Raw genomic sequence first — 16,132 nt, 5'->3', positions numbered from 1 at the left:
AATTTATTATTATTATTGCCATCAAAAGTAATTTTAATGGTCTATCAAGTGACAATTTGTTAAGATCCTCCTTCAAATTTGTTGCAAGCAATGGATTAGAAATGACCTGACCTGCAAAAGGATTTGTTGCCAAGCTATTAGAATCATTTGCTTTTTCTCTTTCTGGGACTTCTAACAAAAGGCTATATCAAGAGTTATTAAATGACTCTTAATTATATCCCTTATTCTTTTACTTGAAAGCAACTTATTCAACTAGATATAGCCAGAAAGGATTTGGGAAATGGAAATATTAGTAATTTAATTACATCATTGCCAATCAAGTAATTTTTGATAAAATGCTTTTATCATTTGCTTACAACCTTTTTTAAAAAACAAAATCTCAGGGCTACAGTTTCAGATTACTAACTTTGCAGAAAACACCATCCAACCAAATTGGCAAAACCAGTCCTCATTGTCAAACCTACTAAAAACCTACAAACCAAGAAAATGTCTTTTCAATTCAAATGCATTAATGTATTTTCAGTTCAAATGTATTAATGTATTTCAAGAAGCTTTATAAAAAACACTCAAAAATAAATGATAGAATGGATTATGTAAAATAGAATCAGTCAAGATTAAAATGATGTAGATCTAATATAATAAGTTATAAACAAGACAAGACAATAAATCAATGCACTTAATTTGTAGTAATGCAATGTAATTTATACATAAAATTATGTGATATTTATACGAAGAAGAGTATGATTTTTAAAAGGCATGTTATTCCTTCTCTAAATATTGGCACACGTGTGTGTGTGAGTGTGTGTGTGTGTGTGTGTGTGTGTATATATATATCAAATTCTAGTGTTTGCCTTTTGGGAATAATCAAATAAATATGAAAAACAGAAATAGTTATCTTTAGTAGATACCATGACTAAACTTTTCCTATGTATTTAAAGATAGAAAGGGGGCATATATTATTAAAAAGTAATTGGTCTGGAGGCAGATAATAATTTTATTTTTTGTTATAAAGAGGTAGAAAATAAACATTATAGACAATGAGATGAATTAGGATGACCTGTAAATAGAATAAATATTTTATGATATAAGTTGATAACACAGGTTTTTAACTTCCTTTTTAAGTAATGCGTATGAAGCCTGTAAAAAATTATGTAAATGTTTTACCCATGTGTCTATTCCAATGTATCTTGAAAAATTTGATAATTCTAGAAAATATTCTAGTCACATTTCTAAGAAGCAGCAGTACCAGCCTATATAGCTTTGGTTTATTGAAGTGATTTTCAAGTAAATAGCTGGAAAAAAGTGCTTACTCTTATCTACAAGAGAAAAGCCATTTTTAGGATTCAATATGAGTGTTAAGAATAGCTGAAAAAATGCTTACCCTTGACTACATGAAAAAGCCATTTTTTTAGAATTCACTATTTCTTTCCAATGCTCCTTTTGCTTTGAGTTCTTGGGCCTTATCCCTAAAGATCCATGTGTTTTTTGACAATAGTTGGGAGAAGAGGCAAAGTTGTTGGGCAAAAATTTGCATTATTCTCCACTCTACCATATTGAGTTTCTAACACTAGGCTTCACCTGTAACAGAAATGTGTGTAAGACAGGGAAAGACAGGAAGCTTTCATAGGTTCATGGTGCTTTGAATGGTCACTAACTGAGATTTCCATTTGGTTTGCCCTGAAGGCTAAATCGCCCTCCACCCCTTCCAATGCAACATATTAAGGTTTGGGTGGTGCCTTTCTTTTGTAAAGTGGAGTAAGCATGGCTTTGGACCCAGAGACTTTCTTGACCTAGTTAATATTAGGAAAGTGTACCACTGGAAGTTGAATCTGGACATTGATTCGTTTAAAACTAGCTGTTCATGGATACCTTTTGAAAAGTCTATGTGGCTGGGTGCGGTGGCTCATGCCTGTAATCCCAGCACTTTGGGAGGCCGAGTGGGCGGATCATGAGGTGAGGAGTTCGGGACCAGCCTGACCAACATGGTGAAACCCCGTCTCTACTAAAAATACAAAAATTAGCCAAGCGTGGTGGCACACGCCTGTAATCCCAGCTATTTGGGAGGCTGAGGCAGGAGAATTGCTTGAACCCAGGAGGCGGAGGTTGCAGTGAGCCGAGATCACGCCACTGCACTCCAGCCTGGGTGACAGAGCGAGACTCCATCTCAAAAAAAAAAAAAAGAAAAGAAAAAAGAAAAGTCTGTGTGTGTCCATGAGGGTATATGTATCGTAGTTTAAGGAGACCTTTATCTTAGACTGTCTTTCTGGAGAATGACAAACCAACCAACTTAATGGCAGACAATTCTATACTGAGGAAAGTTAGGGAGGTCTTCAAGAATAGGTGTCCTGTGTTGTTGGTTGAAAGGCTGGATCTTGATTACTGTATGTGTGGTCAACATGTAAAATGCTTACAGTGAGTTAAATGGGCCTGCCATATTAACTAGGGTCCCCTTTCCATATGCAGGTAGGTTTGCTGTAGGAGTTCCCTTGGGTGGAGCGAAGACTTCACTCATGAAACCACTTTGGTCAGGGCAAGTATGGGGACAAGTATTTGGTAGAAATACTTGGTATTTGTCAGAAATCATTTATTAAAGGACCAGAAACTGTGATAACTGGAGGTACTATAGTCTATTTCTCAACCTTAGGCAGTAAAAGGCACCACAATCGTCATGGTTTTGCCCTATGATTATAACACCAGCACTTTTTTTTTTTTTTTTTGAGATGGAGTCTCACTCTGTTGCCCAGGCTGGAATACAGTACCATGATCTTGGTTCACTGCAAGCTCCACCTCCTGGGTTCAAGTAATCCTCCCACCTAAGCCTCCCCAGTAACTGAGATTACAAGCATGCACCACCACACCTGGTTAACTTTTCTATTTTAAGTAGAGACAGGGTTTCACCATGTTGGCCAGGATGGTCTCGAACTCCTGACCTCAAGTGATCTGCCCACCTCGGCCTCCCAAAGTGCTGGGATTACAGGCATGAGCCACCGCACCTGGCCCAATACCTGCACTTCTAATTTTTTAAGCATGTAGCCAGTAATAATTTGAAAATTCTTCTATGCAAGCTTACCTTGTTGGCATTATTTTAGTGAATTGAGACTCTCCACTTGTAAAGCTCTTTTTTCCTTCATTTTAATTTACAAGTTTGTGTCATTTAAAAACAGGCCAAGGAATTAAAATTTATACTAGTGTGTTTTTTTCCCTAAAAAAATTTTTAAAGAGTCACCAAATAGCCACCTCTGCTTCGCAGGAGGGCAATAAAAATAACAACAGTAAACATACTACTACTACTATAGAAGACATAAAGATTACTCCACAAACTTGTGTTTATTTTATTATATTTTAATTGGAACTAAATATTCTTTAAGAGTCCCTTTTGCCTGACTGGTAGGAAATTCAGTCTCAGTCTTTTTTTTTTTTTTTTCTTTGAGACAGGGTCTCACTCTCTCGCCCAGACTGAAGTGCAGTGGTGTGATCTCGGCTCACTGCAAACTCTGCCTCCCAGGCTCAAGCGATTCTCCTGCCTCAGCCTCCTGAGTAGCTGGAATTACAGGCGTGCACCACTAACGCCCGGCTAATTTTTATGTTTTTAGTAGAGACGGGGTTTCACCATGTTGGCCTGGCTGGTCTCGAATTCCTGACCTCAAATGATCCACCCACCTCGGTCTCCCAAAGTGCTGGGATTACAGGCATGAGCCACTGCGCCTGGCCTAGTCTCAGACTTTACTGGGCTCTCTTTACCTCCCCAGAGTCAAACAAGTGTCCACAATGTTTATAGAAACAGGAGCGGGGCCTCCAGTCTTCAACCCAGGGCTATTTTTGCACTGCCCTCACTGTCTGAGCCCAGATAATTACTAGAAGGGAGCAGATTCATTGCACCTATCACAGTTCAGTCACCTGCAGTCTGTTCCCAGGTAGAACTCCCATGCCTAGGGCCTCACATTCTCATCTCTCTTGAGGTCCTGCCACTGGCATCTGCTGCTTGTGGGATCCATAGACATTTGGCCCTTTCCCTGCAATTTGGAGAGATCTCCTCTCTCATTGTCTTCTTCTTTCCAGAATACCCCTCAAGTTGCTCTGGCTTCAGGAAAACAGCAGCCAGGAAGGCAGGCTGTCTACTAGCAACTTGAGCTCACAGCACCTACAAAGGAGTCTGTACCACGGGGCCCTCATACCTGCTTGGAGTAGGGGGCAGGGAAAAGACAGAACACAAAATCTGAAGGAATAGATCCATGAGTGATCGTATTTTCCTACTACTATTCGTAAATGGCTAACATTATTCAGCATTACTCTCTGCTCATAAAGATGATCAAATTTAATTCTCAAAACTTCACCATGTTTTAAAGACCAGATAACTGAGGCTCAGAGAGTTTGAGTAACTTTTCCGGTAATAGCAGAGCTGGGATTAGAACCCGAGTCTGTTGGGCTCCCAAGCTCAATTCCTATGTTGTATTTTCTCTCCTGTGGGAGCACAGTGAGCTGCCAGCATAGGTTAGTTGCAGCATGAGTTCCCAGATAGCTCAATGAATTCATCCATGGAATACCGCTGCCCAGAGCTCTCCATCTGGTTGTCAGAGTGCATTTGCCAAGACTCAAGAACAACAGTGCTGCTTTGGGCGTAATTAATGTTTAGACAATAACTGGTCAGCATGTTCAGCTGCTTCTTGAGGTCACTCCTGGGATAGGAAAATAGGACCCTGTATTGGCATAAACAGGATGTTTGTTTTCTTTGTGCTCTATCAGTAGGCCATTATCTCGGTCATGTAGAAGTTATACCAAATTGCTCAGGTGCAGATTCAGAAAGGGGGAGGATGTGGCACGGCCTAGTTTTGTGCTGTTTAAAATAGAAAATGGAAAATGGATGAATCTGAAATCCATTTCTGCTCAATATGATTCTCAGGGTGGTATTTTAATAAGGTCCTAAAAGAACATTCAAAAAGTCTTAGATTGGTTTTGAAATCATATTGCATGGCCCATAAAGAATTCCTGTTTATGGGGTCAAAAACTAATATAGTCAATAAATCAACACATAGTTATTATGGCCCTACTACCTGTCCCTCCTGCCCACCTTCCCCCCCACCTCTGGGCATAATGGGTGATTTAAAGACAGGCAGAGCTCTTGACTCAAGTTATTTATAATATGCTTCAGGGTTTTCAAATGTTGTCTTCATCAGAATCATCTCTGAAGCTTGTCAAAGACAGAGCTATCTGGGCCCCACTACAGACTCACTGAATCAAAAATCTCAGGGAGTGAGCTGGGTTTCTTTACATGTGTTTAACAAGCTCCTTGGGTGATTCTGATACTCATCAGTTTTCAGGCCAGACATATGGTTGATGTTGTTTTGGTAATATAAACTTTTATAATAGAAAACATCTCAGGAAGTATGTATAGGAGATATAGAGGCATATATATATATATTTATATGCATCTAGAAGCTCATTAGTCTCTCCTTTGCGTGTATGTTGTTGAAACGTTCCTGTAGGCCAGGCGCGGTGGCTCACGCCTATAATCCCAGCACTTTGGGAGGCTGAGGCAGGTGGATCACTTGAAGTCAGGACTTTGAGACCAGCCTGGCCAACATGGCGAAACCCCATCTCTATTAAAAATACAAAAATTAGCCAGGTGTGGTGGCAGGTGCCTGTAATCCCAGCTACTCGGGAGGCTGAGGCAGGAGAATTGCTTGAACCCAGAAGGTGAAGGTTGCAGTGAGCTGAGATCGCGCCATTGCACTCCAGCCTGGGCAACAGAGGGAGACTCTGTGTCCAAAACAAAAAAAGAAAGGAAGAAAGAAAGAAAAGAAAAGAAAAGAAAAGAAAAGAAAAGAAAAGAAAAGAAAAGAAAAGAAAAGAAAAGAAAAGAAAAGAAAGAAAGAAAGGAAAGAAAGAAAGAGAGAAAGAAAGAAAGGGAAAGAAGGAAAGAGAGAGAGAGAGAAAGAAAGAAACGAAAGAAAGAAAGAAACAAAGAAAGAAAGAAAGAAAAGAAAAAGAAGGAACCTGTAGATAAATATAAATCTATTATTGTAAATAATAATAAATATTTCTTGAGTATCTATATGTATCAGGCTTTGTTAATTCATTCAACAAATATTGTTAAAAGCCTACTAGGGGCCAGGTATGGTACATCAGAAAATGAAACAAAAGTCCCTGCCCTCGGGGAATTTATAGGGGAACACCAACAATAAAACTAAATAAGACAGCTACATGAGACAAGTGTCATGGGGAGAAGTAATGCAGCAGAGGATCACAATTCAGAAGAGGGTGGGTCTACTTGGGAGGCTGAGGCAGGAGAATCGCTTGAACCCGGGAGGCAGAGGTTGCAGTGAGCCAAGATCGTGCCATTGCACTCCAGCCTGGGCAACAAGAGCAAAACTCTGTCCAAAAAACACAAACAAAAAAAGAAGAGGGTAGGGGGAAAGACTTGAGGGAGAGGAGAAGGTGAGCTCTATGAGTATTTGGAGCACAACTATTCCAGGTTTGGAGAATAGTGCAAGGCCCGGACCTGAGAAGAAGCATTCAAGAAACTGCAAGGCCGGGGAGCTGGGATACACTAGGAGACTGGTCAGGGAGGCAAGGAGTGGGCAGAGGCGTAGGTCTTGTCAGCCACTGGAGGACTTTGGTTTTACTCTGAATGAGACAGGAAGGGTTCTGAATTTGGGAATGACACAGACTGACAAGCTTCAACAGGCTCATTCTGGCCAATGAGAATAGGTTGTTGGGAGTGGGCAAGGCTGGAATCAGGAGATCAGTTAAGAGGCTACTGCAGTCATCCCTGGGAGAGATGATGAAGGGGTGGGGATGGGAGCAGTGGAGGTGCTGAGAAAAACATGGCTTCCGGGTGTGCTTTGAAGGCAGAGCCTGCAGTTTTCCTGATGGCTTGGGTGTGGATTATGTGAAGGGACTACAAAAGAAGGTTTTCCAAGGATGCTGAGTGTGACTGTTGGCTGTGCTTACTCTGTGGCCAGATTTGATTCTGGGTGTGGGTCATCATTCAGTTCCAAGAAAATGATCATATTTTTGTTCTTAAAACACATCTTGTGAGATTAGGCAGTATTTGTCTTCCTGTGTCTGGCTTATTTCACTTAACAAAATAACCTCCAGATCCATCCATGTTGCCATAAATGACAGGATTTCATTCTTTTTCATAGCTAAATAGTATTTCTTTGTGTTTATATACCACTTATATATGGAATCTAAAGAAGCTGATCTCATGGAAACAGAGAGTAGAACAGTGGTTACCAGAGGCTGGGGAAGGTAGATGACGGGGGACAGGGAGAAGTTCATCAACGAGTACCAAGTTACAGTTAGGAGGAATAAGTTCTGGTGTTCTATTGCACATTAGGGTGACTATGGTTAACAATATTGTATATTTCAAAATAGCTATAAGACAGAATTTTGAATGTTCTTACCACAAAGAAATGATAAAGGTATGAGGTGATGGATATGCTAAATATCCTGATTAGATTATTATACAATGTATACATGCATGGAAACATCACCCTCTACCCCATAAATATGTTAATTATTATGCATCAATTAAAATTTTTAAATTAAACACATATTGTACACTTAACATTAGTGAATTTGTTGGCTGGGCACAGTGCCTCATGCCTGTAATCCCAACACTTTGGGAGGCTGAGACCGGTGGATCACTTGCAGTCAGGAGTTCGAGACCAGCCTGGCCAACATGGTGAAAACCCATCTCTACTAAAATACAAAAATTGGCTGGGTGTCATGGCACGCACCTGTAATCCCAGCTGCTAGGGAGGCTGAGGCAGGAGAATCACTTGAACCTGGGAGGTGGAGGTTGCAGTGAGCCAAGATCACGCCACTGAACTCCAGCCTGGGTGACAGAACAAGATTCTGTCTCAAAAAAAAATTAGTGAATTTATTGTAAGTACATAATATTTTAAAGAAAAAAAAATTTCATTGCAAAGAGCAGTCAGGGTAGTTCTGACTGGCCACCGCAAGGCTCTCACTGGGATCTTGGTAAACAGGGACTGTACCCACAATGATATTTCTTCCTGACACATAGGAGATCTTAGGAAAGCTGCCTTGGCCAACCAAAAGATAGGATAGTGAATAGTATTTATTGTTCAGTTTGTTTAAAAGCACTTTTTTTCTAAGTTCTCGAAACATCTTTTCTAAGGCTGATAGTGGAAGATATCCCCATTTGAGGGTTCAGGAACCTGAGATCTAGAAAATATAAGAGATGTGGAGGCCGGGTGTGGTGGCTCACGCCTATAATCCCAGCACTTTGGGAGCCCGAGGTGGGTGGATCACAAGGTCAGGAGATCGAGACCATACTGGTTAACACAGTGAAAACCCATCTCTACTAAAAGTACAAAAAAATTAGCCTGGGTGGTGGCAGGAGCCTGTAGTCCCAGCTACTCAGGAGGCTGAGGCAGGAGAATGGCGTGAACCCGGGAGGCGAAGCTTGCAGTGAGCTGAGATGGAGCCACTGCACTCCAGCCTGGGCGATAGAGCGAGACTCTGTCTCAAAAAAAAAAAAAAAAAAAAAGAGAGATGTGAAAGGATGAACTCTACTAGATCAAACCTTTGATTTTATGACTTTCTTCTCTTGATTGAGTGACCTGATGTGTAGTGACTGGCCCTCAATCCAGGGAACAGAAGTATATGTATTTGTGTGTGTGTCTGTCTGTCTGTCTCACACTTGGGTTACAAAGTACAATAATCTAGTAAAATAATTGGAACTGATTGTTCAAACCATTCAAACCTCCTGTAAATCAGGCCTCTTGGTTCCTCTCCTTCTCTCCCTCCTGTGTCTGTTCATTTGGTCATTTTATTTCTGAATGGTAATTTTCACTGAGGGGTGGGATAGGAAAATAAAAAGATATGAAAGTCACATTAGGTAGTGTAGAGAATAATTTTAATAGAAGCCACAGTGGAGAATGCAGATGTAATTAGCATTAAAATGAAATTCTGAATTGTCGGTGGATTTTAGCTTACTTTGCTCTCCAAATCCTTTGTTCCCTTTAAAAACTGAGTACAATTATGACAAGCACCTAGCGAGGCTGTGCTTCTTTTGTCCTGCTGAAGAAGCCTTGTCTGAACCAGGGTGGCTGTGAGCAGGTCCTGGGCCGAGTAATGGCATTTAATGCATTTGCCTGTTTTAGTTTGCAGTGATGATCTCACCCACAAATTCAAAGGTTTCACCGTGATGAATGAAGCCGAGAGATACGAAGCTCTCAGACACTGTCGCTACGTAGACGAAGTTATCAGAGATGCTCCCTGGACACTCACGCCAGAGTTTCTGGAAAAACACAAGGTACTTCTCATTCTCCCACATTCTCTAAGTAGCAAGATTAGGGAGTCTGGTTCTGCAGCCAAGACTACGGAAAGCCCAAAGTCTCTCTCAATTTCTAAAAGAGGTAACTTCAGGAACTGTCATGTGGAACTGCTTGATGTGGCACCTTTCGTCCGCCCAAGCCCGAGGACTGGTATCCTCTCACTTCTTTGAGTGTGGGCCCTGGATCTAAACCGCCCAGGTCCAAATCCTGCCTCTATCTCTTCCTAGTTGTGGGACCTTGAACAAGATATCTAACCACACTGTACTCGCTTACCTCAACTGTAAAATGGGATGATGTTGGTATCTTCCTTGTGGACGTGTTTTGAAGATCTAAGAGGTAATCTTAGTTAAGCAGTTAGAACACTGGCTGGCCCATAGCAAGAGCTCCAAAAATGTCATTGTCACCACCATCACCACCGTCATTATTGATGCTTATCGATTCACAGGCATTCTTTTTCATGGGACAAATGAACACACATCTTATCCAGAAAGTCACAGGTCAGCCTTTAAAGAAAGAACTTTATATCTATGATTTTGTGACCCTGAGAATCCTACTGACATAAGATTTTTATTAGTTGGAAACATGAGAGATTCTTTTGATCTGCATCAAATTATGTGCTTTGTATCTCCCTACCAGCCCCACATTAGGAGCTATTCTTTCCTTTTATAAGCAGTACAAAAAAAATAAGATTAAGCTGTTCTAAGAATTTTCTTTTCTATTTTTAAAGCCACGATGCAGAAGAGAATAGAGAACACTGATAAATGTGCATGAGTAATAGCTGAAGAGACAATTTCCCAGTGAGAATAAAAAGAAAAAGGAAAAACTACAATATGATTTACTTCCAGTAATCACTACCACATTTTTACTAAGCATCTATTGTATATTCAACATGTGCTAGGCATTATGGGGGATACTTATAATGATAATGATGGCTGTAATTTATTGAGTATTTACCATGTGCCCGGCACTGTGCTAAGGGCCTTGTCATTATATGAATTGAATTCAATCTCACAGCTACCCTGAGAAGTTGTTATTATACATTGGAGAGGAAAAGGAACTAAGTTTGAGTACTAAGAATAGAATTAATAATAATAATAATAATAAACATTTATTGAGGATATACTCCGTACTAATTGTTTTTCAGCATTTTTACATAATTATGTCATTTAATCCAGTGATTCTCAACTGGGGTGAGTTTGCCCTGAGGAACATTTGGCAATGTCTTGAGACATTTGGGGTTGTCTCAGCTAGAGGGGTGCTACCGGCTTCTAGTGGGTAAAAGCTAAGCATGTGCCAATGCACAGGACAACTCCCGACACCAAAGAATTCTCCAGTCCCGAATGTCACTAGTACTGAGCTTGAGAAATCCTAATTGAATCTTTCCCCTAACTTATGAGTTATATAGCCAGCAAGTAGTGGGGCAGGGAATCATACTACTCTAAACTATCTCTAAACTACCTCTCAAGTATTTAACTACTGCTACTCTAAATTACCTCTCAAGGTAGAGTGAAACCCCATTATAAAGGGCTTGTTATACAGGGCTTTAAAATCTAGGCAAGGAGTGTTTGCTTGATGTTGCAGGAAACAGGAATAAAGATGAGCAGGCATGAGGATGACCAGAAAAAAACAAAAACAAAAACAAAAAAACCTGTTTAAGGAGGATACCCCATGTGACAGCAGGATGGCTTGGAGAGGAGGGGGCCTACAGTGAGGAAGGCCAGATACAAGTTGGTGTCAGTAATCTGGGTGACCAGGTCCTGGATTTGGTGTAGTTGCAATGGAGAGAAAATGATGGGCACACACCTACATATGCATGTGTGCACACAAACACACACACACACACACATCCCAGCAGAACCTAGGGTGAGTGAAATAAGTAGAGAAAAGAGGCTTATTCCAAGGTTTGGGTCTCCCCAAGACCCAAAATAAATAAAATAAAAGTGCCATTGGAAGGGGTCACTCGTTTTCAGGAAGATGAATTAAATTCAGGACAGGACAGGACAAGATGATTTAAAGTGACAGCAAGTGGTAAAAGAGAGGGATGCAGTGGGAATTAAGCCCACCTGGCCTGGTGCCCTGGCAGCCCGCTAAACATGGCCTGGTGCCCCAGCGGCCCACTCCAGTCTTTAAGCCTTGGGTAAATCTAACAAATTTTCTAGTTTCAGCACCTTATGTCCCAACTGAAGTAGTAACATGTGGCCTGCCCACCTCACAAGGTGGTTATGAGGATCGAATGAGGAAAGAGACAAATTCCTTTTCACAGTATAAAATGTGACCTAAGTGTGAGTGCCCATTGCCATCAATGGGACAGGAAATGAAGATTTGGGTTCCTCATCATAGGAGGGATGATAAAAATTCAAAGAATTAATGAGTTCTCTCAAGGAGAAACTTTAGATGCAGAAGGACAGAAGACCAAGAAATCCTACTCTCTGGGGTAGGACAAGAAAGAGGGACCAGCAAAGGAGAGAAACCAAAACATTTATTCTTCTAGTTCCCATTATCTCATAGAAATGAAAATAGTTGGAAATACATTTCAGCCAAGGATTCAGGTCTCCACTATAAATGTAACATACAACTGCCTTATTTTGAAAAGGCATTATGAAGTCACCATTCCCCCCTTCAAATCTGCAGACATGCACATCCATCCCAGTGGTGACATCACTCTTCTCTCTCTTCAACAGATTGACTTTGTGGCTCATGATGACATTCCGTATTCCTCTGCTGGCTCTGATGATGTTTACAAGCACATAAAGGAAGCAGGTGAGGCATTCCCCTGTGCTCACCTGTCAACCACATCACAATAATCAGGTGCAATAAGAGACATCTGTCTGCCCTGGGACATCTGCAGTGTATACAAACAGGGAGTTACAACTTTAGGTGTCCCCCAGGCGGCTTCTACAAGCCACTGTTAGCATGTGCTAAGGCTCAGTTATGGCACAGATACCATTTAGGTATTTATATAGGAATGAACCTGAGCACCAAAGTGCTCAACTTCAGGTCTAAGGCTTAATTTCCGGGGTCATCAGACGAAAAGTGCAGGACCCCATTACTTAAATGGCAGCCATTTTCCTCATTCATAATTAAGTCTTCACAATGAGATTATTGGATACTCCCAAGAAATTTCCTTCCAGAAGCAGGTAGATAACTGGCTAGTTAATAATCTGGACTCCTTCTGTCCAAAGTTAGTCCTGCCATATTTCTAGTGTCATCTTGTCACATGTTAGTAATATTATCAGGTACCATATGTGGAGGCAAAAAAAAATGGGTAAATGTTTTAATGGCTTGGCTTATTTTCTGCTATTTTACTATCTACCATGCATCTCATCTATAGGCACTGTAGGTACACCCATGCATACCTTCCTACATACATTAAACCATAATCTGGCAGGTGCAGATACTATAGTGAGTTACCATATGCATAGGGATTTCAAGAAGTCTAGTGCTCCCTGCTTATACTAGAGCCATTGTTGACATGTGCCATCAGAGCCATCTTCCCCACTCCTGGGGACCAATGAGACTCCACTCAGCTTGCTCCCACCATTTCCCACTCAGCCTGCTGCCACTACAGCCTTTTCTTGGTACTCATGGACCTTCAGATTCTTGAGGTAGGATGGGCTCCTAAGGGTCACTGACCCAGGCTCCTATCTCCTTCTTGGCATCATTGCCAGCTCCTGGCAGAACTGATGCTTTTACATTCCCCATGATGGAGAACTCCCTGCCTTGTGAGGCAGCCCGTTCCATCTTGGATGGTTTTGGCTGTCATTGTTTAATATATGAATCCCCTGAGTGCATCTATAAGCCAGGAATTGTATAAGAGAAAATGAATAAGACATAGACCTCACCCTTGAGAGAGAGCAGAGACAGACATAAATAATTACCCAAAATATAACCAGCCTGTGGCAGAGTATATACAATACAGCAGGCCAGGGCAGCATGTTCGAAGGTGGGACTGTATGAAGCACAGCGTGTCTGGAGAAAATAAACATGTTAATGTAGTGTAGGGTGTGTGGAGGTGGGAGGCAGAGATGGAGACTGGCAGGACAAGCTGGTTGAGGCTTGCTTCCATATGAAGTTACATGGAACCAAATACTGTTCTGAGGCAGGGGAGTGTCGTGATCAGGTCTTTTGTGTGGGAAGGAGCAACTGGGGGGCCATAAGTGGTTTCCATAACTAAACTTAACTAGGAAACCCCATTTCCACAGCTGACAGAAAAAAAAAATACACTTGACATGTGAAATCATTCAGACTCTTCTAGGTTTGTACTTAGACTGTGTAGAGTAAACTTTTTGCCTTTTTCTCCTGAGGTGATCTAAGTTTCTGGAGCACTCTGGCCTGGCATGGGATGGGGATCTTTAGTTGTGAGGTCTCAAGACCTGCTTAGCCATCAGCCCCACTTACCAGACCCCTGTGGCAGCCTCTGAGACTCTGTCATCTCCCCACTTTGGCCTGAGACTGTCACCTCCCCACTTTGGCCTGTCCTGGCCACAGCATCTGCCGCAGGATTCCCTTCCCTGTGCTATAGGTGTGCTGCCCAGCAGTCATGCTGATCTTAAATCTTGGCTTCCTTCCATATTCCTCTAGAGAGTCCCCAGGAAATTTAAAAACTGTCCTCCATAATCTACTAGAGGGCAAGGGAAACCAGGCAATGTCAGTAAGCCATGTCAGGCCCTGTCTGACCTGCCCGCCATGTTGGCCTCTGTAAAACTATTTCTTTCCAAAATTCCTGGCCATAAACAAGGTGCCAGTGGCCCTGCACTGAGCTTTCTAAAGGGGTCTCTTTCCTGCCCCTGCCCCTGGTATTTGAACCTGAGTCAGAGCAAGGGACAGACCGCACTCCTGTTCTCTCATTTCTGCTGTCCGCTTCCCAATCCCTCTCTGCACTCCTCCCCTCAACTCCCAGAGGTGCTTTTCTTCTTCCTGGAGAGCAGAAAACTGCCCCTTAATTAATTTCATGCCTTCCCAGGGTTAATATACACTCCAGGGCTTATAGTCAAACATTCTGTACCCTGAGTCTACTCAGCCTCTGGTTCTTAATAGTTCAAAAGACACTTCTGGGATTTATAATACCCTTTTTATACTCCTCAAAGCTTGGCTCTTCCTAGTGGAATTCTTGCCTTTCTTAACTCTTCTTTTTAAATGAGCCTTAAAAAGAGCCTGTTTTAGAAGTTGAAGGCTGAACACGGCCTCCTGTACTCTCAGCTTCATCTGCCTCCCCCTGAAGTCATCGAGTTCTCAGTGTCCATGGGAACAGGGCCTCAGGACAGACATGATCCCTAGAAATGAAAACAACATTGGATACTATTTTGAAAAATTATTGTTACATAAAATGTATGTATTCTCCCTGATGGCATTTTTGTTGGTTCACACTCCTTGTGGGCCAGCCTGGGAAGCTCCATGCCATCCCCTGCAGGGCTGGTGGTGGGGACTGTACCATCCTCTTAGGAAGGACTTCCTGAGAAGTCAAGAGCATTGGATAATGGGAGGCCTGACATTCTCAAGTCTCAATCTTGTTTGTGAGGAGTTCCAAGGAAGGAAACCTCATACACTTCGGACTTGGAAGTCTGCTCTGGAACTGGAGAAGAAACTGGCAGATGCCTCAGTTACATCAAGATGGGTTACAGCATGGCGTGATTAATATTTATTTATTTACTTACTTTACTTACTTAATTTATGAGACAAGTTCTCACTCTTTCACCCAGGCTGGAGTACAGTGGTATGATCATAGCTCACTGCAACCTCGACCTCCTGGGCTCAGGCGATCCTCCCACCTCAGCCTCTCAAGTAGCTGGGACTACAGGCACACACCACCATGCCCAGCTAATTTTAAACTTTTTTGTAGAGTTTCCCTATGTTGCCCAGACTGGTCTCAAACTCCTGGGCTCAAGTGATCCTCCCACCTCGGCCTCCCAAAGTGCTGGGATTATAGCTATGAGCCACCATGCCTGGCCTGATAAATACCCTTTAAAGTCATTGTAAGATCTGAACTATGAGCCAGCTGCTCCTTTCCTAAAATTGCCATAAGGATTTGTTATAGACCAGTGCTTATGAAACTTAGATATGCCTCAGATCATCTGTGGAATCTTGTGAAAATTCAGATTCAGATTCAGTAGGTCTGGTGGGGCCAGAGATTCCCATTTCTAGTGAGCTCTCAGGTTGTTAGATGCTGTAGGTCCATAGGCCTCACTTACAGTAGCAAAGATCTGGACCAGGCATTCTCATCCAGCTGAGTTATCCCCAGGGTTTCTTGAATCAGTGTTTCCTGGGGGCAGTAGTTCCTTGGCTACCTTATAGTGTATAGGAATAAGCATTTGGTGGCAGTTTTCTTTCTGGGTGAGTGGCTGTCAGTGAGCTAAGAATATGTTGCTTTCCTGATTTGGGGAATAAAATGTCAAGTTCCAGTTGTTTAGGTGTAGGAACAAGTCCAACATTTTTCTAACTCTAGCAATCCAGCATCCCTATTGTTGCATAAGAAAGTGACTCCTAAAGTTAGTGACTTAAAAGAGCCTCTTGATTTCACTCATGATTTTGTGGGGCAGGATTTTAGCAGAGGCTTGGCTGGGTAGTTCTTGCTTGGGGTCTCTCAAACAGTTGTAATCAGATGTTGGTGGGGGCTGTGGTCATCTGAAGGCTCGACTGGGCTGGGGCTCCCAGGTGGTACACTTACGTGGCTGGCCTTGGATGCTGGCTATGATCATGGCACTCAGTTGCAGTTGCCACTGGGGCATACAGGTGGCCTCTTCATGTTGCTTGGGCTTCTCACAGCATGGCAGCTGAAAGGTAATATCTAGAGAGAAAGCAATCTTGACAGAAGCCACAAGGCTTCT

General features: G+C 42.1%; 1 protein-coding gene across 4 annotated transcripts in view; it reads left to right on the top strand.

Moving 5' to 3' along the window:
* The window catches only part of PCYT1B (phosphate cytidylyltransferase 1B, choline), a 114,801-nt gene that overhangs the window by 73,579 nt on the left and 25,090 nt on the right, over nucleotides 1-16,132 (top strand). For all 4 annotated transcript variants that reach the window (NM_001163264.2, NM_001163265.2, NM_004845.5 and 1 more), the window contains 2 exons: nucleotides 9,135-9,286; nucleotides 11,990-12,068. In NM_001163264.2, coding sequence (NP_001156736.1) covers nucleotides 9,135-9,286; nucleotides 11,990-12,068 — 231 coding nt within the window. The remainder of the gene's footprint in view (nucleotides 1-9,134; nucleotides 9,287-11,989; nucleotides 12,069-16,132) is intronic.

The sequence above is a fragment of the Homo sapiens genome, chromosome X (genome assembly GCF_000001405.40).
Source record: "Homo sapiens chromosome X, GRCh38.p14 Primary Assembly".
NCBI lineage: Eukaryota > Metazoa > Chordata > Mammalia > Primates > Hominidae > Homo > Homo sapiens.
Note: the sequence above shows the minus strand (reverse complement) of the source record. Positions and strands in the feature narration are given on the sequence as shown.